The 24,443-nt window shown below is 39.9% G+C and overlaps 1 protein-coding gene across 6 annotated transcripts in view, besides 1 other annotated feature; it reads right to left on the reverse strand.

Annotated features, from left to right (window-relative positions):
* MAGI1 (membrane associated guanylate kinase, WW and PDZ domain containing 1) overlaps nt 1-24,443 on the reverse strand; it is a 685,393-nt gene that overhangs the window by 163,112 nt on the left and 497,838 nt on the right. The window lies entirely within an intron of this gene.
* Nucleotides 22,661-23,569: an enhancer, noted in NCBI's record as "OCT4-NANOG-H3K27ac-H3K4me1 hESC enhancer chr3:65524973-65525881 (GRCh37/hg19 assembly coordinates)". NCBI's record gives its function as "activates a minimal SCP1, AML or CMV promoter by ChIP-STARR-seq in naive and primed H9 embryonic stem cells {active_cell/tissue: H9 hESC(naive and primed)}" and the evidence as "EXISTENCE:reporter gene assay evidence [ECO:0000049][PMID:30033119]".

The raw sequence follows: 24,443 nt of genomic DNA on the forward strand, positions 1-24,443 counted from the left end.
TATCACAATCATGAGCAAAATACTAAAATAAGCCCACTTTTCAAATGAGGATTTGGGAAGAAACATAGTACATCCCACCTCTTTTTTTTTTTTTTTTTTTTTTTTTTTGAGACGGAGTCTCGCTCTGTGGCCCAGGCTGGAGTGCAGTGGCGGGATCTCGGCTCACTGCAAGCTCCGCCTCCCGGGTTCACGCCATTCTCCTGCCTCAGCCTCCCGAGTAGCTGGGACTACAGGCGCCCGCCACTACGCCCGGCTAATTTTTTTGTATTTTTAGTAGAGACGGGGTTTCACCGTTTTAGCCGGGATGGTCTCGATCTCCTGACCTCGTGATCCGCCCGCCTCGGCCTCCCAAAGTGCTGGGATTACAGGCGTGAGCCACCGCGCCCGGCCCCATCCCACCTCTTTAAGGGGGCTGAACTGGGATTAAAACCCAGGTTTTCCTACTCTGGAAGCTAAGCTCTAAAATTTTACACTACCTGGCTTCATATCTCATTCTGCATCAAGCATGTTGTCCTCTATTCTTAGACTACTCCAGAAAGAATCATGCCTCAGGGCCTTTGCACTTGCTATTACTCCTCCCTACAACACTCTTGTCTCAGTTGGCCACTCTTTCTCAAGACAGCCCCAGTGCTTGCTCCCAAACTTCCTTCAAGAATTTGCTCCAATGTCACCTTCTTGGTAAAGAGCTTCCTAATGGCTTACTGTAAATCGTAAGCTCTTCCTCCCACCCTTGAACTACCTATCCTGCTTTATCTTTCTCCACAGCACATATCAACATCTCTGCTGGTTATTAAACTAGTGGCTTGGCTCCAAATCTACCCTTCCAAACACTCTTCTGCAATGCTCAAGTTAGGAGTCTACAAACTGTATTTCCCAGGATTATTCTGCAATAGGGGAAAACTGAAGAAAGTGGGAGGTCAGAGTGGACTAGCTACTTCCCATATGTTTGCTGTTCCTGTCAGTATGTCCCCAGCAGAGGCCCTTCGCCCTGGCAGCATAAGTTGGTTCCAGTCTCCAACTCCCGAGTCAGTCTCATCGCATCCTAAGAGGTACCAGTGCCACCTTCTCGGACATCTGAGCTCTCTGCCACAGGGATCCCTCCTCTGAGCCTCGAGACTCAAACAACTCCAAACTCTTTATTTTGATCCTCCCACCCAACCATGCAGGCTGCTTTCTGAAGTTATTTCCTTTGTGTGACCTCAGAGCTCTCTTTCTGCTTTTTCAGATCTCCAACACCAATTCCCCATAACAGAGTCCCTCTGTTGAAAAACCTAGTATGATTTTTGCTTTCTTGACTGGATCCCAAATGATATACTTAATATGTAATAACTTTAGATTTTTAAACAAAATTTAGAAAATAATCTTTCCACAGTAGCATTAGAACAGAGGGTTTTGTCTGTCTCATTACTGTTGAATCCTAAGCACCTGGAGTAGTATCTGGTCCATATTAGGTGCTGAATAAACATCAGCTGAATGAATGTATCCCTCTAGTTAGCAGCTTAAAACTAACCAGAAGACATTGTCTAGGTTTCAGCCTAAAGACTATCTTAACCCCAAAGGCTTCTCTGACCCTAACTAAAGTAGATCCCCTCTAGTTCTCCTTCACAGACCACTGCATAAGTCTACCACGGCACATTTTACAATCTGTAAAATGACTTTCTGTATCTGTATATTTATTTATCTTTCTTATTCACCATAATATTAACATCATAAGAATTAGAATTGTGTCTGTCCCACTACATCTTCAGTGACTAGCGCAGGCTAGGCACGCAGTAATTGCATGATTTTTCGTGGAAATAAAGGTACACTGGGGCTTAACTTCACGAGAAAATAATCATTTGGACATTTTATTGCTCTTCCCACAAGAAAAGGTAGGAGATGGGAATTAGTAGTGATCTCAGTGGGATCCTGTACCCTAAATTCCTTGATGTGACTTGGAATCCCAAATAGCTGTTAAGCCAAATTTGATTTGGTGGTATTATGAGACATTGTTATAGTCACAAATTAAAATACTTCACAAACATCGACACCATGAAAAATTAAAACCTGTGTTGAAATCCTCTATGGTTTCAGCAAATATGTACTAAACACATACTATGTGCCAAGTAATGTTGAAGACGGTAGATGCAGCAAAAAAAAAATAAATAAATAAACCGAGTTTACGTCTCCATGGAGTTGATATTCTAGTCAGTAGAGATACACATTAAATAAACTAGTAAATATGCAATATGTCACTTAACGTGAGGGAGAAAAAGCAGAATAAGAGTGGTAGGAAATTTTCAATGGTAGAAGTAGAAGTAGAATTACAATTTTACATGATGAGGGAATTCCTCACTGAGAAGGTAAAATATGCACAGAGGACTAAAGGAAATGAGAGCAGGAGCCATGGGCCAGGCCTGGAAGTGTTCTAGGCACAACAGGTAACACCAAACGCAAATGTCCTGAGGCAGGAGCAAGCTATGTGTTTGAATTACAGTAAGAAGCAGAGTGGGTGGGGTAAGAGAAAGATGTTATTAGGTTAGGGCAAACATAATTGCGGTTTTTGCCATTACTTTCTTTATTGCACCAACCTAATAGATCAGAGAGACAATGAGGACTTGACAACACAGAGAGATAGAGGCCACCATAAGGACTTTGTATCTTATGAGGAAGATGGGAAGCCACTGGAAAGTTTTCATCACAGGAGTATCATGATCTGACACACACACACACACACACACACACACACACACACACACACACACACACATATATATAATTTTTTTTTGGATGGAGTCTTGCTCTGTTGCCCAGGCTAGAGTGCAGTGGTGCGATCTTGGCTCACTGCAACCTCAGCCTCCTCAGTTCCAGTGATTCTCCTGCCTTAGCCTCCCGGGTAGCTGGGATTACAGGCACCTGCCACCACGGCTGGCTAATTTTTGTATTTTTAGTAGAGATAGGGTTTCACCACGTTGGCCAGGCTGGTCTCAAACTCCTGACCTCGTGATCCACCCACTTTGGCCTGCCAAAGTGATGGAATTACAGGCATGAGCCACCTCACCTGGCCCTGACTTAGATTTTAAAGAGATCACTCCATCTACTGAATTGAGAATAAACTCTATGATGGACTAGAGTGGAAAGAGGAACAACAGTTTGGTGGTTATTACAGTAATTGAAGTTACAGATTGTGATAGGTTATTCTTCCCATTAAGATGTGGAGTCCAATTCCACCCCCTGTGTATTTGTGTTGGCCTTAGTGGCTTGCTTGATTGAAGGAATAAGGCAGGCATGGTGCTGTGTTACTTCCATGGCTAGGTGAGAAGAATACTTGCAGCTTCTGCTTTGGTCCTTTGGCACAGCAGCTCTTAGAACATAACTGCCTCACTCGGAGAAAGCTGGAGAGACCCACAAGGAGAAAAAAGGAGGCTCCCAGCCAACAACCAGCACAGCTTTGCAGCAAAATGAGTTGGCCATCTTAGAAGTGGACTGGCTAGATCCCGTTGAACCACCCCACCTACTCTTCCTGAAACAGACACAAGCCATCCCGCTGAGCCCTAGTCAAATTACAGATTCATATGCAAAATAAATGCTTATTATTTTTTAAGCCACTAAGTTTTGGAGTGATTTGTGACACAGCAACAGATAACCAAAAAAAGAATTCACGATAGCTCAAACTAGCCGTAAGGGAAAAGATAGTTCCTAATGCACTTATGTGGAAGATCCTTCAATAATATGGTTAAGAACTTGGGGTTTTGGAGCCAGAAAAACTTATATTTGAACACAGTTGTATCACTTAACAGGTAACCCTTGGCAAATTAATTAGTTTTCCTGAACCTCAGTCAGTTACCTCATCTGCAAATGGGAAGAGTAATGGGGCCTAGTTTCTTGAGATATTGTGAGGTTACAAGGAGATAATGTAGGTAAAATGCTTTGCCCCATGCCTGACACTTAATGAGTACTCAAAAAAAGTGAGCTATTAATAGGATTGATTTTTTACCATTTTAAAAATGGCACCATATCATTCAACATTCTCAAAAATGGAAGCTTCTGTGGCACAACTCCCGGATTTCCACTACATTAAGAGGCCAGATGCAAAAAGAGTTATAGTCCCAGGAGAAACAAGAGCCACAGTTGACTAGCCATCTTCTATGCATCAACAGTGTTTATTAAGATGTCATAGGATTAACTGCCAGACTGCCTTTCAGAAGCCTTTCGTGACTTATAAACCATGGTAGTCATGGGAGCTAACTCAATATCACCAACCCTCAGCAAAATAGCTTTCCAAAATTTTAACACTATCACATCTATTTTGGCAAACATATTAGCCAATTCAGTGGAGGGCAAACTATTATGACACCAACTTAAGAGATTCTGCAAATTCAAGGAGAGGAAAAAGGGCATGATTTTATCAATCCATCCCAAATCTTGCTGCTGACAATTAGTGCAAACCCCATTATATAAGTCTAGATGTGAGATGTAATATGTACCACAGACAGTGGAAGGCACTTCAAACAGAAGGATCAATTTACCACTTTATTAACCTAAGCTTGATAACAGATCTCTGTTAGAGATACTACTCACATCCCACTTCCACTTTATTACAGAGATTACGCTGAATAGAGAACTGATTTTTAACAATAAAACTCTTTCTATGGCCTTTAGCCAGAAGCAATAAAATTCTGACCTCACAGCTATAACAAAACAGAGAAACCTCCTAGCATATATCTCTATATTAAACAACCAGCCTTCAAGATATATCACTGGAAGGATGTTGGAAAGAAATGCTGCTTTAAAAATATCAATAGCCCACGATTTAGGAGCAAGTACAAGAGATGTTTAGAATTGGTTTAATAAATATTTAAATACATATGCCAACATGCCATTAGTTTATGAAATATAGATTTCAGGGAATATTGACTTGAGGCCTGTATTACTTACTGAGTATTAATATACAATACAATGAATATTCATGGACAATGAAAACTCACTATTTTAATGTAAATATGCATACCTGAGTTCCTGAGTGATTTATCTTCCTCTTGGGTGGTTGTTACATGGTAATAAATGTTATACTCTTTGCCATACATTAATGAGTCATTTCAGGCCCAAGAGCTTTATGAAAAGTTGGATGTTATGTTGTAAGGCATTAGAAAGTCATTATAGGATAACAATCAGAAAACTCAGTTTTTACAAAGAAGCTACCATTTCTCTGCTGATGCATAAACCATAGCTTTGCTATTTTAAATTATAATGGTGATTAATCTGATTGCTTATTTCAATGGGACTTAATGTATCTGGGATGTGTTCCTCTGACATTTCTATTCTTCTTCATAGCTACATAAGCTTAAGGTAATGATGAGTTCCCAAATCTCTATTATAACAGAAAAGTAGCAATACAGAGGGAATACTATCACAGAGGAAAAAAATCCAAACGGAATTTCATACCCTCCTTCACTCTTACAATGGCCTTCACCAAGAGCAGTATTTTCTGCCACAACATGGCCTAAAAGTGTTAATATATATCCAGCAATAATGAGATATGAGTCAAATAATGTCAAAAAGCACTGAGTTCAACCCAATTAAAAAGAATTCTTCACTGCAAGACTTCTCAAAGGTGTTGAATATGCTGATATTAATTGAGAGTTTCCAAAAAGAATAAACTATGCTGTGTTTACCCAACTCTTTCTTCACGGAGCATTTCATAGGACTAGTGTTCTATAAGCACAAGCATAGGCTGCTGGAGTTTAAGTACCACTTTCCCTAATCTCATAGGTAACTTACTTGGGTTTTTAAAGGATCTCTAAATCAAGAAAGGATTCCTGTTCTCATTTTCTCCCCTACATAAAGCCAAGTTCAGGATGAAATCTCACAATGATGTATGAGAAAGGGTACACTTTCTAGACCCAGTGTACAACAACAAATACAAATTTAATTACATCACTTACCGGTTTAAAGTCCCTCCAGTAGCTTCCCAAACTCTACACAGTAAAACACAAATTCTGTCAATCAAGCTTTTGAAAGTTTCTTTATGACCTCCTCATCGTTTCTTCCCCAGTCATAGGTGTCAGTACTCAAGACTTCAATTTGGGTACTTTTAGCTCCCCACAAACCTCTCCCCAAAGTAAATGCTTCAAAGGCAGACAAGCCCTGGCTAATTTAGCTGAATGTGGTACTTCTGGCACTTAGTTTGATTGTCTGCACTTGGAGATTCTATACCTATAATTCCACTACCAAAAAAATATTTATGCCACCAATTCCTGCTGCAGTAGGGGTGGGAAGACTCCCATATGTTTTTTTGGCTTCAGGCTCAGCTTACACATCACTTCCTCCAGGAACCTTGTCTGATACAAAAAGGTTGGGCTTAGTATCATTACTATGGGTTCTCATAGCATTCATTCCTTTCCCACACTTTAGAATATCCCACTCTCCATTGGAATGACACCCTTACTGATCTCCTCAACCAGAATGTATATTTCCTGGGTGCTAAAGATGGAGTCTAAGCACACATATTATGTTTGCCAGAGTCTTTTATACCACAGTCAACCAATAAAATACATATAATCTTACTGTGTATGATACTATTACCATATTAGCCAATTATTATTGAACTAATGCATGCCCACCATTTATCTCAAGAGTAGAAAACTCTAATTCAGATAATAGGAATGTTTCATGAGGCCATGCTCTAGTTTACACAACTGTGAAAGTTCAACAGAGGGTTACTGGAGTCACTATAAACACCATTTAATGTGGCAACCTTAATAATATAAGCAAGGTCAGAAATTTTAAAAAGGAAGAGAGGGAGGCGAAGAGAGGGAGGCAAGGGGTGGGGGAGGGAAGAAAAAGCAAAGAATGCAAGAAAAAAAAGAAAGTTAAAGAGTAGTGTTGTTTCTCCCTGTAAATGAACTTCTGTCCTGGAGTGACCAGGTGACTGGAGGCTGTTCTCCCACTAGTCTCTGTTTCACATGCATCCTGTTCCATGGAGTGTTAGATATTGCACAGATTAAGAGAATTTCAAGGGAAATCTTGACCTCAAACAATTTTGTTTGCCTCATGTGCTTGAAAAGGAACTCATATGTAAGTTAGAACTCAACTGCACAAGTATTTTAAGAAAGAATTTTTCTCTCAGTCCTGGAAATAACTGGAAATAGTGGTTAGAAGTGAAACACAAACAGTAATTAGCCTTAGGGGTAAAAATATCCCTTCTACAATTTTGTATCATTTAAAATCACCAGCACAAATACTTTCAGAGTAAGAAGCCTGAGAGTGCACGCTACAGAAGAGCTTATGATGTCCTATTACTGCTGTCACCAACAGAAATTCAAACGCAAAGATCACATGAAACACAGACCTCAAGTTACTACAGTGTTTGTTACAAAGCAAATGCTCAATGAAACTTTGAAAAGGGAAGAGAGGAAAGCAGAAAGGGAAGGAAAGCAAGAAGAAAAGGAAGGAAAAATGGGAAGAGAAAAGGAAAAAGGAAGAAAGGTAGGAAGGAAGAATGAAAAGTTGATTTTGGTCTTTGGGAAAGTTTTGACAGCAATCTTTCACAACGAACATTTTACTATGTACTCTCAAATCACAAAGTTGGTGTACAATGGCAACAGGCAATACTACCCAGTGGAAAATATCTGATGCATTCTATCTGGAAACGATGGAGTCTCTCATAGGTTTCAAGAGAAGAAAAACAATTGCCATAGGTAAAACAGAAGTACTCTTTTCTAATCAGCAGCTCATAAAATTGCTGTAAGAATGTCTAAGCAATAATGAATAGAAAGTTTCTCTCACACAGGACTGGGAACTTACAGGACTTAATATATGTTAGTCATGTTTCATTACTCTTATAGAAAAGTTAGACATGTAGGGTAAATTGGACTGTCTTTTGTCAAATTCCCAAAGCAAATATGGAAGGGTTTCAGTGCATCATTCAATTCCACAGTGGACCATGCTCAAATAGAAACGAGGATGTAGAAACAATGAATAAATGCATCCCAGTCGACAAAGTGTCAACACATCCTACTCTGCTGCCCTGGTGTGTGAGTCTGAAAATAGTGAAGGGCATTGAAGTTATGTAGACTCTACTGCAGAACCAAGATAGGCTGAATGATAGATCGCAACAGGTGGATATCTGATACATCAGGCCATGCAGAATTCCTAGTGGTCACTCGCATTCTAACTCTCTCTCAGCTCCAAGGGGCTCTCTCTGGAGGTTGGATCTCATCCACAAGGTTTTGGCCAGGATCCAGAAACATGTAATAGGAAAACTGGCAAAGGTCCCAACCCAGCCCATTAATGATCTGCAAATGGTACCCTTTAGATCAAATACTCAAGCCACAGGACTTGGAGGTGCAGCCTCACGTTTGTCTTCCAGAAACAATTATTTCACCATCGAGGTTCACTTGTGCTGCTTGCTAGAAATCATTCTCCTCTCCCCTTGGCTCCAGCACCCTCAGTCATAATTTCAAACACCTACTTGGAATTGCATCCCTAGACTCAAATTTACACATTCTCATCTCCCTATAATGCACCCATTTCCAGCTCACTGCCATCAATCAGCAAGACTGCCAGACACTACTATCCCACTGCACCGATGTCAAAGCCACACCACCTCTCTATGGACAGACACATGCTGAGCAGAGGAGTACCTTTCTCAAATCTGCAACTCTGCTTCAATATGACCCTCACAAACACCCTCAACCCTCAGTAGGTTTTTCTTTTTCTCTCTTCTCCTTTACAGTATTTGTAGCCAAACACATTGTCTGCTGTACTGGGATAATCTGCAGAGAAACAACTGACTAACCTTTGGAATGCTTTTAAAATCTGTAGAACTAAGATACACACATGCTACCCAAAGATTTCATCCTCACTAAGGAATCAACAGTAATCTGAGAAATGTTCTGTTTGGAATGTTGAGTTTTTAAGTCCACTAACATGGCTTCTGAAATGGTAAAATAAAATGGCATCTTTACTTTCAACGAATGCTCTGGTCTGGAATAAGCACTGTATAATCATCTGAGATTATAATTACATGGTCATTCAATTACAGTCACAGAGAGCCCCTGAGTTGTAAAAATTTATGAAAAAACAAAAGAACAAAACAACTTACCTTGTCAATAATATAGCGGTAGAATGTGCTTAACTCAACATCTGGGTTTTGATGGTGGGAAGCCACTTATTAATTATACAATTAGGTATCACAATTGTACAAGTATACAATTAGTAGGTATTATTTCCTGAATACCCACTGTGTTCAATCAGCGTGCCCCATATAAGGGAGGCACACATTGTCCCCTGTTTTAATTGCTTACTTTGCTGGGGACTTCAGTAACTTCACCAAGTCACAGGGGGAAATCACAATTTATAGAAAATGTATATGGAAAAAGGCTTCCTAATCTTTGCAAAAACAAAGAATCTTTTGTTATATGTAATTAGTTTTTAAATAACTCATGGTAAATTCTCCACTTCTATCATAATCTACATCACCTAATAAATGTGATTTGCAAGTGAGAAATATTTATTGTGCTTTTCCACTCCAGTGGCGGCAGGGTGGGATATATGCTTGTTTCACTTTTCTTTTTTTCCTGCCCTCCTTGATGTTCAGTTCACTGTGAAGGTGTTGTTGACATCTTTGCCATTTTTTGCCAAAATGACTGCTCAAATTAAGGTAACTTGGGAAGTTACTGCCTGTAAAACAAATGGGGCGTCACTGAAATGGCTATTCCTTGATTGTATTTCATTTGAAATTTAACAAAGTCAGAGAGATGGGTCCCACAAGCATACCTCTAGTAAAAGCTCCAGCTCTTACTTGCAACGTATGTTATGCAGCAATTATGCTACCAAGCTGCCCAGAATTCTTTATCTGCATGCAAATTAGTTTATATGTGCTACAGCTGCCATTATGACAGTATTAAAGAAAGAATTTGGTAATGAAACTATCCTCTTTATGGAAATGCAGTTCAATTACCTTAATAACACATTGGACATACCTGCAATTGCTTATAAAGTGAAAAGCCCAATTCTCTCCTCACATGCCCAGACCACTGTATTTAACCCACCTTCTCATCACTTTAAATACAAGAACAACCAAGAGGGGGATTTCTAGGCTACCTTTTACAGGCCTGACTCTTTCAGTGCTATGATGGGAGCATTCCCTCAACTGACATTGTGGGTAACTTGGTGATTAAACATTCCTACAATCCTCTAATAGTTAAAAAATTAAACGGTCATCCAACCCACAGCTGTTAGCGCCCAGTTTTGCCATCAATCATTAACAGTAACTCCTGGGACCTTCAAAGGCCACCAGCAGGCAGGAGTGAGAAAGGAAAAAAGAATATTAAGTCCTTAATTCCAGGCCTGAAAGATACATATAAAGCAAAGAAAGCAGGCTTTAAAAAACTCTAGAATGGTTATGATATTTTAGGAAGGCTAAGATTCACGTATCTTCTCTTCTTCCATTGGTGATTGTCTTGACTTCTCAAACAGCCAACCTAAATCACTGCTTTTAGGCTGAGATTGCAGAGGATGAGCAACAGCTCCTTTGTCACACCAGTGGCTCCTTTTAGGAAGCAAAGACCCAGCCCTTAACACTGGCATTTCCACAGCTTGCCGAACTTGGGATGCTACCATAAGAGCACTGAGTCTCACACCTAACTTACATTGTTCAGAGTTAATTATATTTCAGGGCTGGGTACGGTGGCTCATGCCTATAATCCCAGCACTTTGGGAGGCTGAGGCAGGTGGATCACTTGAGGTTAGGAGTTGGAGACCAACCTGGCCAATATGGTGAAACCCCATCTCTACTGAAAATATAAAACTTAGCCAGGAGTTGGCCGGGCGTGGTGGCTCACACCTGTAATCCCAGCACTTTGGGAGGCCAAGGCAGGTGGATCATGAGGTCAGGAGATCGAGACCATCCTGGTTAACATGGTGAAACCCCGTCTCTACTAAAAATACAAAACATTAACTAGGTGTGGTGGCAGACGCCTGTAGTCCCAGCTACTAGGGAGGCTGAGGCAAGAGAACAGTGTGAACCCGGGGGGCAGAGCTTGCAGTGAGCCGAGATTGGGCCACTGTACTCCAGCCTGGGCAACAGAGCGAGACTCTGTCTCAAAAAATGTATATAAAAATAAAAAATAAAAACAAAAATAAATTAGCCAGGAGTGGTGGTGCATGCCTGCAATCCCAACTACTCAGGAGGCTGAGGTAGGAGAATTGCTTGAACCCAGGAGGCAGAGGTTGCGAGATCATGCCACTGCACTCCAGCCTGGGCAATAGAGCAAGACTCCATCTCAGGAAAAAAAAAAAAAAGTTAATTATATTTAAGAGAGATCATAAGAAGTACCAATTGGCAATTTTTTAAAAAGTGGGGTGGGGAGTACTGATCTTCACATAAAACAAAGGCATTTTTACAGACTGCTTTTTTTCAGTTGGGTGAAAGACTACAAAGATTTTAAGAGTATCATAAGTTAACAAAAAATGGCTTTTTAATTTCTCCTTGCTCCACTGCTATCATTTACATCAAGAAAAAAACTGAAACACCTTGAAAAAGGTGTTCTGAAATTTAGACTGAAAACTAACAGAAGCACTTTATTTTTACCTCGCTTTTCTTTCACTCCACGTCAACTGTCACAAATTGATATAACATTGCAAAATTCATCCAATATTGCAAAATTTATCTAAGCGTTTCTCAAAACTAAGATTTTCAACACAGCGAAATTGCTGTCAAACATGGTGCTACTTTACATAGCCGAAGTCCTTCATTCATTCATGGAAGAGATTCAATAGATACACCATGGCAGGACAGGGACTAGGGCCTAAAGTCACCATGGATATATAAGGAGATGTAGTGTCTGTCCCCATGGAGTGGAAACTCCAATGAACTTATACCTCTCTTTAGTAAGATAAAAGGCGGGTCACAGAACCATCTGCATCTCAATTTCTGAACCTGTAATGTGAAGAAAATATCACCTATCACAAAGGGCTGTTGTGATCATTTCAATTTGATAATCTATAAGAGTTAAGCACTTTGCAGGATGTGTAGCAGAGAACAAATGCTCAGCAAATGTCAACTCCCAATATTTCCCCTCTTCTCAAGGTAAAAACTGGCCCCTGTACCAAAACATTATTTTACCATTCAAAATACTATGGAGTCAGGCGTAGTGGCTCACACCTGGAATCCTAACACTTTGGGAGGCCAAGACAGGAGGATTGCTTGAGCCCAGAAGTTTGAGACCAGCCTGGACAATAGAGTGAGAACTTGTCCCTACAAAAAAATTTAAAAATTAGCCAAGCATTGTGGCACACATCTCTAGTCTCAGCTACTCAGAAGCTGAGGTGAGAGAATCACTGGAACCCTGAAAGCAGAGGTTACAGTGAGCTGAGACTGCACCACTGCACTCCAGCCTGGGCAACAGATGGAGACCCTGTTTCAAAACCAACCAACCAACCAACAAAAAACAAAAACAAAATATTGTCATTAAGTAATGCCTAATTGGTAAATATTCTTTTTTTAAAATAAAAAAAAAAAGGCTTGGACTTTCTGCTCCCAGGTTAAAAGAAAGAGATTTTGAGTAGATACTTTTCACATTTTGGTAAAATACACTTAGCATAAAAGTCATCATTTGAGCAATTTTAAATTGTATAATTCAGTGACAGTACATTCATAATGTTGTCCAACCATCATCACTATCTAGTTCTGGAACATTTCATCACCACAAACAGAAACTCCATACCCATTAAGCATTAATTCCCTGTTCTCCTCTCCCCCAAGTTCCTGGCAACTACTATGAATTTGCTTATTCTGGATATTTCATACAAATGGAATGATACAATATGTACCCATTTGTGCCTGTCTTCCTGCAGTGTGATGTTTCTTATAGTGAAACGTTTTCAAGGCATGTAATGTGGCATGTATCGGTACTTAATTCCTTTTCATGGCTGAGCAGTTGTATTCTCTCACATGGATATACCACGCTTTGTTTATCTATTCATCAGTTGATGGACATTTAAGTTGTTTCCAACTTTTGGCTACTGTGAATTATGTGCAGTTATGAACATTCATGTATGAGTTTCTATTTAAAAATCTTTTCAATTCTTATGAGTACATACCTAGGAGTGAAATAGATTTTACCTATGTATACACACACATAGATAATATATGGATACAGACATAACACACATAAAAATGTATATACACATATAATATATACACATATATACATAAATATAATATACACACAGTAGCTCATTTCTGCAGTAGTAAGCCTTTGCTATACTTGCCTGGTTAAGGCCTTTCCCTCTCTTTCTCCATCATTAGCTGATCTTGACCCTCTCCCACCTTCACATTTGGAATGTCTTAAATGACTTTAAGTCCTCTCCATATCCCACCTGTTTACATATTACCCATATATGTGTGAGAGTGCCTAGCTAGGGATTCAGTAGGTATTTGTTGGAAAAAAAATGCATGAATGAATGAATGAAGCAATACCTTGCATATAGCACAAATACAGCAAGCACCTGTAGCAAGATCAACGCCATAATCATATCCAAGGTTAAAATAGAGAAGGTGATCCCTAGTGTTCAGAGTGCTACTTTGAATGTCACTTTCTGGATACCTGTCATTAATGTCATCCATGTCACTGAATTAGGCGAGTGCTAATTCATCCATGTCACTGAATTAGGCGAGTCTTTCACTCCTTTTCTCCATCACAAACTCCTCCAGAACCATATAGCACAGTGGCTAAAAATATAGGTTTGGAGAGGCTGAGGTAGGTGTATTGCTTGAGCCCAGGAGTTCTAGACTAGCCTGGGCAATGTAATGAGACCCCGTCTCTACAAAAAATACCAAAATTACCCGGGTGTGGTGGTGTGTGCCTGTAGTTCCAGCTGCTACTGGAGAGACTGAGGTGGGAGGATTGCTTCAGCCCAGGAGGCAGAGGTTGCAATGAGCCAAGATTGCACACGACTCCAGCCTGGGCAACACAGCAAGACACATACGTATGTGTGTGTGGTGTGTGTGTGTGTGTGTGTGTGTGTGTGTGTGTGTGTATATATATATACATATATATATACGTGTATATATATACACATATACACGTGTATATATATACACACGTATATATATATGCACATATATATACACGTATATATATATATATACACACATATATATACACGTATATATATATATACACACATATATATACACGTATATATATATATATACACACACACACACACATATATATATATATGGAGAGAGAGAAAGAGGAGGGGTGGGGTTTGGAGAAAAACAGCCCAGTGTTGGAATCCGCATTGGCTCTGTTATTATTCGTAGTTCCCATAAATTTCTATTTGCATCTCTGAAAAATAAGGACAATAATCCCCATGCTTTGAAGTTGCTATGAGAATTAAATGACATAAGTCATGTGTAATGCTTAACAAAGTGCCTGGCCCACAGATTAATGGTACTGCTTACCATTAATTAAGTAGGTTCCTAGCATAAGCAAAATCTCTTTTTTTACATTAAATTCTCTCAGGACACAAAAAAAAAATCTGAAAAAAATCAACCCCAAATGCTCCAATCCAGACCTACAGCTTTATATCAATATACTAATGGATCTCAAATTGTATCTCAAATTTATAGCTAGGGTTGTCATCTGAGCAACAGACTTGCCTATCATCCAACTGCCTACATGAAATCTCCACTTAGACCCGTAAGAGACAGCTTAGAATTAATACAGTGCATGCCTAATACATTATCGTCAGGGGAACTCGGGTGAAGGGTACACAGGAACTCTACTATGCTTGCAACTTTATATGAGTCAAACTATTTCAAAATTTAAAGTTATAATATTTATTTAAAATAATAGTTATAACACACAATTATTATTTACAGTATAATACTTATTTCTAGTAATAATAAGATTAACATTCTCAAACTGAACTACTATAGGTTTGCTCTCTGGCTCCAATTCCCTATCCATCTTTGTAAATGAACCACTGTCCAAACAATTGCTCAGATGAAGCACTTAGGGCATCACCCTCAAGTGGAATAAAATAGCATTAAGAACATACACGCCTTGGGGCCAGACTGCTGGGTTTGAGTCATGGCTCTTCCAGTTTCCAGCTAAGTGACCTCAGGCCAGTTCCCTGACTTTCCAATATTTCAGTTTCCCCATCCATAAAATGAGAATAAATAGAACCTATAGCACACAGTTATTATACAGATTAAAAGAGTGAGTTAATACACTAAAGTGCTTCAAATGGTCCACTTCTCATTGTAAGTTTTCAATAAAGAATTAGCCATCACTATTATTATTTTCCCTTAGCCCTGCACTTACATCCCACATGTATTCTAAACCTGACCACTTCTCACTCTCTCAGCTGCCAACAACTCTAGTATAACCCCACCACCATCATCAATTCCTATAAATCCGTACAGTTCCAATCATATCTCTGTTCCCAGCCTTCTCCTTCTAGGATTCATTTTCTGTAATAGTTAGAGAAAACTTTCTAAATCCTAAACCAAATCATCTTATCTTTTACTCCAATGGTTTCTATTCAACGTTCCAATCATTTCCTATTGGGAGCAATTTTTTTGAAAAACTCTTAATAATGGCCTAAAAAATTCTCTATGATCTCACTCCTGCTTTCTTCTCTGACCTCATCTGCTTTTGTTCTCTTCACTAAGACACAATGGCTTTGAGCATGCCAAAGCTTTTGCACTTGCTGTTTGTGGCATGGACTGCGACTTAATCTCCAACATTCATTCTCCCGTGCTTTCGAACACTCAATTTGTCAGGGCCACATGATGCCCTGGAATACAGACTACATATGTGGCCTACCGGCAGCTAGACATAACCAAACAATTACATTCTATCAATGGGATCTAAGCAGAAGTATGTGTAACTTTCAGGAAAAGACCTTAAATAGAGAAGGCACATCTCTCTTTTGCTCTTTCTGGGTCAGACTGGCTACAGTGCAAAAACAGCAGCCCAAGCTTGGAGCGTGTGTTTGGAAAAATGCAATTAACAAGAGAGAAGGAGCCAAAATCTGTGGAGGGAAAGGCAAAACTACAGAAGGAATCTGGGTCCAGGTGATCATCAAGCTGCATCATCAGCTCTAGGTTACTTACCTTGGAGAAGAAGAAACATACAATGCACTCCTATCCTGTAAGCTGCTTTAATTTATGATCATTCCCCTTTTCTTTGCAGAGCAATTTTCCCCATGGATCCATGTGTGGCTGCCTCCTTCTCACCGGTCAAGTCTCCCCTCAAATGGCACAACGTTAGGGGTGTCGCTGGTTTAGCAGGACCGTCTCTCTCTCCTGATCTATACCACGTGACTCTATGCTTTCTTGTTTGCAGCATGTGATAGCACAGGAATTCTTTATCTACTTTGTAAATGTCTGCCTCCTTCCACCTAAAGATAAACTTTTGGGGGGCATCCACTGTAGCCCCGCACACTTAGAACAGCTCCTGGATTGCAAAAAGAATGCAATCCCTATTTTTTGACTGGCTTACTTATGGTATGTTGAATGACCTGGCTTTGTGTTTCTTCCAAATCCTGGGTGGTTTTCCTTCTCATCTCAAATTAGTAGATTTAACTCAGTCCAACATTTACGGAGCACTTATTGGGTGGAGACACTGTGGTAGACACTGGAGAGATAAAGACCAAAGGAGGTGTGGTCACTGACCCCAGGGGCTTCATAGTAACACTGCAATCTGCTCTTCTCATCACAGAATCAAATACTGAAGGAATAGATAAGCTGACAGTAACTTTTGCGTTGTGTTTACTTAGGAAGAAACTCAGACTGTACCCGTAATTGTCATTTTTGGATCCATTTCTTAAACACACTGCAATCATTACTTTAGTGTTGTGACTATCACAAAATATTGACAACTTCCAAAATACAGTTTCAAAAGGTCATTAAATACGTAATTATTGAAAAATTCCATCGGTGTACCATGATCGCCTCAAAATCACTTTCTAGAATTCAAAGACTTTCACTACCCTCTGAGGAAAGTGACATGTAGAATTCTACCAAAACCATGTAGAAAGCTATATACAGAGTTCTTTTAACAAGACCAAATATTCCCCCAATGAGGCAGCTTCTAAAAGATCTCCTCTATCAAAACATTCTCTGAGCATTAGAATCCATGTGGTTAAGACCATTTCTTGGTGGAGGCTTTAAAAATTCAACCTGCAAAGTCTCATGAAATCATCCCAAATATTACATCCATCCAATCCAAAATTCTCCACTACTAGGTAAGATCATTCATGAAACCTTATATGGCTTATGTAAATTCTAGACTCAGAATGTTTTATAAAAAGCACAAGCACTAGCTTAGAGGTGGATTCTCTGGCCATACTCAAGACTGGAGATGACTGAAGCCTGACAGCTTGATTGCAAGCTTGTGAGACAGAGAACTACCCAGAACTACCTAAGCCAGATTATGGATTCCTGTTCCTGGATTCCTGACCCTTAGAAACCTGGTGAGAGAATAAATGTTTGTTGTATGTTTGTGTGTGTGTGTTTCTACAGCATGATCACTGGCAGTCCTATTTCCAAATTATACACATACCATAAGTGCAGGGCTCATGCCTGTAATCCCAGCACTTTAGGAGGCCAAGGTGGTAGGATCATTTGAGTCCAGGAATTTGGGACCAGCCTGGGCAAGATGGCAAAACCTCATCTCTACAAAAATAAATAAATAAATGAAAATCAGCCAGGCGTAGTGGTGCACACCGGTAGTCCCAGATACTCAGGAGGCCGAGGTGGAGGATTATCTGAGCCCAGGAGTTCAAGGCTGCAGTGAGCTGTGAATATACTGCTGCACTCCAGCCTCGGTGAGAGAGTGAGACCCTGTCTCTAAAAAAGAAAAAAAGAGTGTGGGATTTGGAAAGAGAGAGAGATCAGAGTTTGAAACTAGCCCAAGCCATGTTACTTGGGCAAGTGTCTGCATAACCATTCCATGCCACAGTTCGCTGAGAGCTAACATGACAAACAAACAAGATCAGGAAGTGAGACCACAGTGCCTGGCATACACATACAGTAAGCACTCAATTCACATTGACTGTGATGTCAGTGAGAACACTGACGATGATGGCAAGAGAGCACCAAGATTTGAACCCAGGTCTGGCTGCCTCCAAATTCAATCCCATTTCACTATTTCTTGTTCAGTTTTTTCATTCTTGGCCACCAATCCAGGGCATCAGTAGGAGGTTTCAGCTCTGATTTCTAAGGCATGGATGCTGCCGAGCCTCTACGGGGTGAGTTTGTTCAACCCCATCACCATGGCAGGTAATTTGTGCAACAGAAAGGATAGAGATTGAATGGAGGGGAAGTGCCAACTCTCCATGTGGGGGACAAGGCACCATATGGCCCAGCAATTAGGAAGGAAGAAGACTGCCAAGGACAAAAATAACTCTGGCAGAATCCAACACGGCTGGTAGAAGTCAGCCCAGGTCAGCTCCTTCTTGGTGGTGTTGTTCTTGTTCCCCAAGGGACTCTACTGACACTCCTTACCATGAATTTGAAAAAGATATGAAAGAGGAAAAGGAAGTCTGATGATAGTGGAGAGTTCTAATACCAGCTCATTAAAACAATTTTCCTTTTTCCTAAAAGCCTGGTGCAGGAATAGCTCTTCAAAGGGAAGATGTGCTTCAAGAGATTATTGTTAACTTTGAAGAAGCTTAACAACCTCACTCTCCTTGTCTCTAAAAGAAGGCAGGTGAACTAAATGAGATGCCTTGTCTCTTGCAGCTCTGAAATAAGCTGTTGACTCCAGTCAATAAGCCAGAGATAGCAACAGGAAGAGGAAGAAGGAAGCTGTATAGATTCAACCCTACCCATTTTCTACGAGTAAAGTTTGTGTTCAAGAAAAAGAACAGGGAACAAGGACTCAGTGAATTTCTGTAAGAATTCAGGCATGCTTCACACCAGGAAAACAATGAACACCGTACTCTTTCAAATCTAAAAAGCAATCCAAATGTTCAGTTTCTTTCTCTTCTAATGGAATGAAACTATCAATGGCATTCAAATACCATCACTCATTCAGCTGAAAGCTGTTTTATGCATGTAACTACAAGGGGATGATTCAAAGGAAAAAATGTAAGGTTTTATTTGGCAAAATGAAAATTAATATTTCTTAAAATAGAGATCAGTTAGGTAACCTCTATCTTAATTATGACACTTCAGTATTTTTTCTTGACAGCTTAAAGTCAAAATCACCCTTCATTGCTGTTTCTTTGGTTAAACAGCAGCTGAGGAAGCTGGCTTGAGTTTAAGGACCATGTTGAATTTTTTAAAATATAGAGTAAGACACTAGAATAAACACCCACTTGGTGAGGTGCTCACACCATGAGGGGCACATGGGAACTGAAAACAAATGGAGAAATCCAACTCATGACTAAACTCCTGTTCACTTTGGGACCTTTACACACCATATGCAAAGGCAGCTGGCATGGACTGTGTTATTTACACTTATACGTTTTCCCCTGAACTTTAAGTTAGTACACACTGTTGATTTGGTGTCTGTTACATACATATATACTGATGTTTCCCTGTATATTTTTGTTGTTTTTCTAATCTTATCACCCCTACTAAGCTACAAGTTCTGTGAAGCCTAGATTCACCTTTGTATAATAACTCCTAGCATACTATAGATTCCTAGCTTCTAGAACTTCCCATATCGGAAGGTCTCAGGAAACCTGCATGGGATAATATGAATGAAAATAAAAAGTGACCTGGATACATACATATCTCTCTCCCTGAAATATTGCTAGAGCATACCCTTCCTGGGTATTTGTACAAAAAAGATAATGAGCATTCTGGCTGGCTCCTTTGCAACAGTTATAAAGGCAAAAGGAATAAAAAAAGGATTCCAGGGTCTTTTCAAAGGAGCTAATACGGTAGGGTGAGATTTATATTAGAAATGCACTGTTTCAGTCTATCTAGTCACTATTACCCATTTTCTGGCCACCAGTTCCCAGCTCCTGAGGTGCATGTGACCCTGAGCAAGCTAATCAGCATGATCCATTCTCTAGTCAAAGTGTTCAGGGCTGGCCATATGATCCTGGTTAATCTAACCAGATTCAATCTTGGGACATTGGTTGTAACCATTGAGAAAAAGGAGAAAAAGAAATTCACTTTTCATGAAGGATGCTAAGCTTCAAGGATGGGACTCTAACACTGCTAGGAACAATCCTCTTCCCACCAGAGATAAGACTGAGAATGGCACCAATACAGCAGAGGGCAGAAGACAGATACAAGGACAGATTGCTAACATGGTTTGGGTACCCAGAGCCAGCCATGCCCGTAGGTAGTTTATCTTTGGACGTTTTCATTAGGTAAGCACATAAATTCTCTTTTCTGTTTGAGTATGAATTCTTCTGGCTATGACAATGGAATGAATTTTAAGTGAAATAGAAGTGTTACGGGGGATTGCACAGGCTCATAAAACTCAAGTCCTTTACAATATATCCCAACCTACGCTGTCTAACCTCCTCTGCCATCATCCCTCATCCATTCTGTGAATTTAAGTTCTAAATGCACTCCACTATACACTGTCCGTGAATAGATCAAACACATTTATTCCAACATGCCTTTGCTCAAGCTATTACCTCTCCCTATGAGATCTTTCCTTCTTTCTCTGCCCAGGAAACTCCTATTGATCCTACAAAGCCCGTTTTTCTGTGGAAGCCATACCATTCATAAGCAGGAGCAGGCACTCCCTTCTCCATGTTCCCTTTCACTCCTTTCTCTGTGTTCCCTTTTGCATTTTCCCCATAATTTATGGCACCTTGTAGCATTTGCCACATTGGCTCACTGTTATTTATTCATGTGTTTCTCCCCAAACTGTAACTTATTCATCTTTATCTCCTCATAGTTTAATGTTCAATAAGTGAGAAGGAGGAAAGAATGGCAGTGGGGGAATGTTATGGTCATGCAGGGCAAAGAAGGATAGACTCTGAACAAGAGTCTTCAGAACTTGGGTATACCTTGCAATAAAAACAATAATCAGGAAATCATTGCTGGATTAAAAATGACCTCCCAACTTTTCGCCTTCCACTGAAAAAAATCACTAGATTTTTTAAGTGAATGCAAAGGAAACAATTGTTATTTAATAGTCAAATTAGGATCTCATGCTGTTCCCCAACCCCCTGAAAATTACACATTTAAAGAGAAAGATTATGAAGATAATTATCTTTTAAATGTATCAAACACGGTGGCTCACACCTGTAATCCCAACACTTTGAGAGGCCAAGGCGGTCGGATCACCTGAGGATAGGAGTTCAAGACCAGCCTGGCCAACATGGTGAAACCTCGTCTCTACTAAAAAATAAAAAATTAATAAAAAAATAAAAATCAGCCAGTGTGGTGGTGGGTGCCTGTAATCCCAGCTACTTTGAAGGCTGAGGCAGGAGAATCGCTTGAACCCAGGAGGCAGAGGTTGCAGTGAGCTGAGATCACACCAATGCACTCCAGCCTGGGCAACAAGAGCGAAGCTCTAGCTCAACAAAAACAAAGACATAAATAAAATAAATGTAAACAGTTATGTTTACAACACCCTCTGCCTTTTCCACTAACTTATAGGTTGGAGTATAAGGATAAAACCAGAAGACAGCATTATTGGGAACCAGAAAAACAATGACCTCAAGACTTGTAAATTCTCCATATAAACAACAAAATACCACAGCTAAGAATAATGCTTTAAGTGGCATGGACTCAGGGGATATTCTCTGGCCAGATTAAAAGATACACACCATCCTTCCATGTGGTGATAAAAAACACTGATCTCTATCTACCTCCTTCTCTGTCATCCAAAAACATTTTTCTCATGTGTTCAGCATTTTCTAAAACAAGTAACTATGCAGAAATCAATTCCCTACAGTTAAATTTATACCAAGTTAGGCTGGCATTGAACTGCAATATACCAAAGCTCTTAGAAATCTGGCAAATACAATATGAAGGATATCAAAAGAAGCCTGTAATTGAGCTGAAAAATTAATTATAGCCCTAATGTGATTCTCTTCAATCAGGAAGGTCCACTAGATGCCATGCTCTCATCTAACCCTCAGAGCAACATTAATATCCACACCAGACGGACAGGAAGGGCAGCAGTCAGACCCAGAGCAGACTCGTTTCTCTGTTCGATCCTCAACATTTTTCTTTTATTAACTAAGACAAACATACCAACTATAGTCAAGCAGTCATACAAACCAACTACCAACAAACAGACACACATACCAACTGCCTACTGTCAACCAGAAACACATACTAACACCGGCAAACAGAAACACATACCAACTACCGTCAACCACAAACATGTACTAACTACCATCAAACAGACACATATACCAACTACCATCAACCAGAAACATGTACCAACTACCATCAAACAGACACACATACCAACTACCATCAACCAGAACCACATACCAACTACCATCAAACAGACACACGTAGCAACTACCATCAAACAGAAACACATACCAACTACCGTCAAACAGACACATGTACCAACTACCGTCAAACAGGCACACATATCAAGTACCATCAAACAGGCACATGTACAAACTACCATCAACTGGAAACACATACCAACTACTGTCAACCAGAAACATGCACCAAGTACCAACAAACAGACATACATACCAACTACCATCAAACAGAAACAAATACCAGCTACTGTCAACCAGAAACATGTACCAACTACATCAAACAAACACACATACCAACTACTGTCAAACAGACACATACCAACTACCATCAAAAAGACACACCAACTACTGTCAACCAGAAACACATATCAGCTACTGTCAAAGAGAAAACCTCTTCTGCACAATATTGCCAAGCAACCATCTGAAATGGATACCGTGTTCTCTGGGACCAAGAACAAACAAAAAAGATGCCTGTGTCCTTTTAACCTGTATCCTCATTTGTGATCATGGCCAAAGCAGAAGTGCTCAATGAGGAGGGTGCAAGGAAATATACTTGGATCAAAAGCCTGGCCAGGCTTTCCACACTATTCCTAGACACAAAGGGAGCTGGTTTCCTGGGCACTCTAGCAGACTGTGGCAACTATTTAGCATATGAAGAGAGGCCTGTGCCTTTACCCACTTTCTGGAAACAAAAGCAGTCTGTCGTCAATATAAATACAGTTTACATACCAATGCTTTCTAATTAACCTTTCACCACAGTAGTTTTCACCACAAGTGCATTTTCCTTCTTAGCCTCAGGAACCTGGGAGAGCACTAACCCTAGGCTTCTCAGTCCTTGCTAATGATAGGTTTCCAGGGGCTTTAAACAAAGTTTGGATTTCAGGATCAGCTCTGCCACTTACTACCTGAACTCAGGCAAGTAAGGTAACCTCTCTCACTTCCCCTACACTCACTTCCACAGCAAAGGCTTAAGAGCTTTCTCATAAGATCAATGGGAATATTAAACAACATATGGAAAGTGCTTAACATCAAGATGGGCTCAAAGGGAAAGTCACAAACCACATACAACAGCAACTTATGCTATAACAACTTATGCTATATGTTATGTTCAGTAACTTCTAAGCTAAAAGAAATATTCGAGATCAGTAATCACAACCAATAGGAGAGAGACTTCTCAGTTTATACATGCCTTCCTGGACTACTCTATCTAAAATTACATCAAACCCCTTTATTCTCTATCCCCCTCACCCTGATTCATTATTTTACATAACAGCATATATCACTTCCTGGCATTTTATATTTATTTTGGGTGTTTTTTTCTATATTCATGCTCCATAATGTAAGCTTGGTTGAATTCACTACTATATTCCCAGTGCCTAAAAAAGTGCCTGGCAAACAGAGACCCTCAATAAATACCTGCAGGATGGTAGAATGAATATACATTTTAAAAATATAGGGGGCTATCAATTTTTACATTTGTTTTGAGAGTGGGTTGTATTTTATTAAAAGGATTTTTGATACTGCAGGTTGCTTTACATCTAAAATGGACTTCTTATCTATTTATTCAAAAACTATCTATTGGACAGAGCATTTCACAAAGCTGTTTGCCAGGTGCTAAGAAAGAGGTAATGATTCATCAGAGTATGCCCTTAAAGAGGTTTTAGTTCATACACACTGGGTTGCATCCTCAATGCACAATCATTCTTCCTTCACTGGTAAGTGCCTCTCTCCCTTCTTCCACATGGTGACTGCAAATGCAGCCATGTTGGTAAAATATAATAACCAGTCTGCTGTGAGAGAGGAAGGAAGCAGATGTGCTGGGAAGAGCAGCCAGGCTGAGAGAGGGATTCAGGGCTCCCCGTGGTGCAGCAAGCCCCAGGGCCCAACTGTTACTAAATCTGGATGGTGTATGTATCAAAAACAATTTTTAAAAAATAATCAGGCAAGACATAAAAAAGTTTGAAAAGATATATTCTTTCCAAGGGAAATCTATCCTAAAGAAAAAAACTGAAATCTGA

Source organism: Homo sapiens, chromosome 3, assembly GCF_000001405.40.
Source record: "Homo sapiens chromosome 3, GRCh38.p14 Primary Assembly".
Classification (NCBI taxonomy): Eukaryota; Metazoa; Chordata; class Mammalia; order Primates; family Hominidae; genus Homo; species Homo sapiens.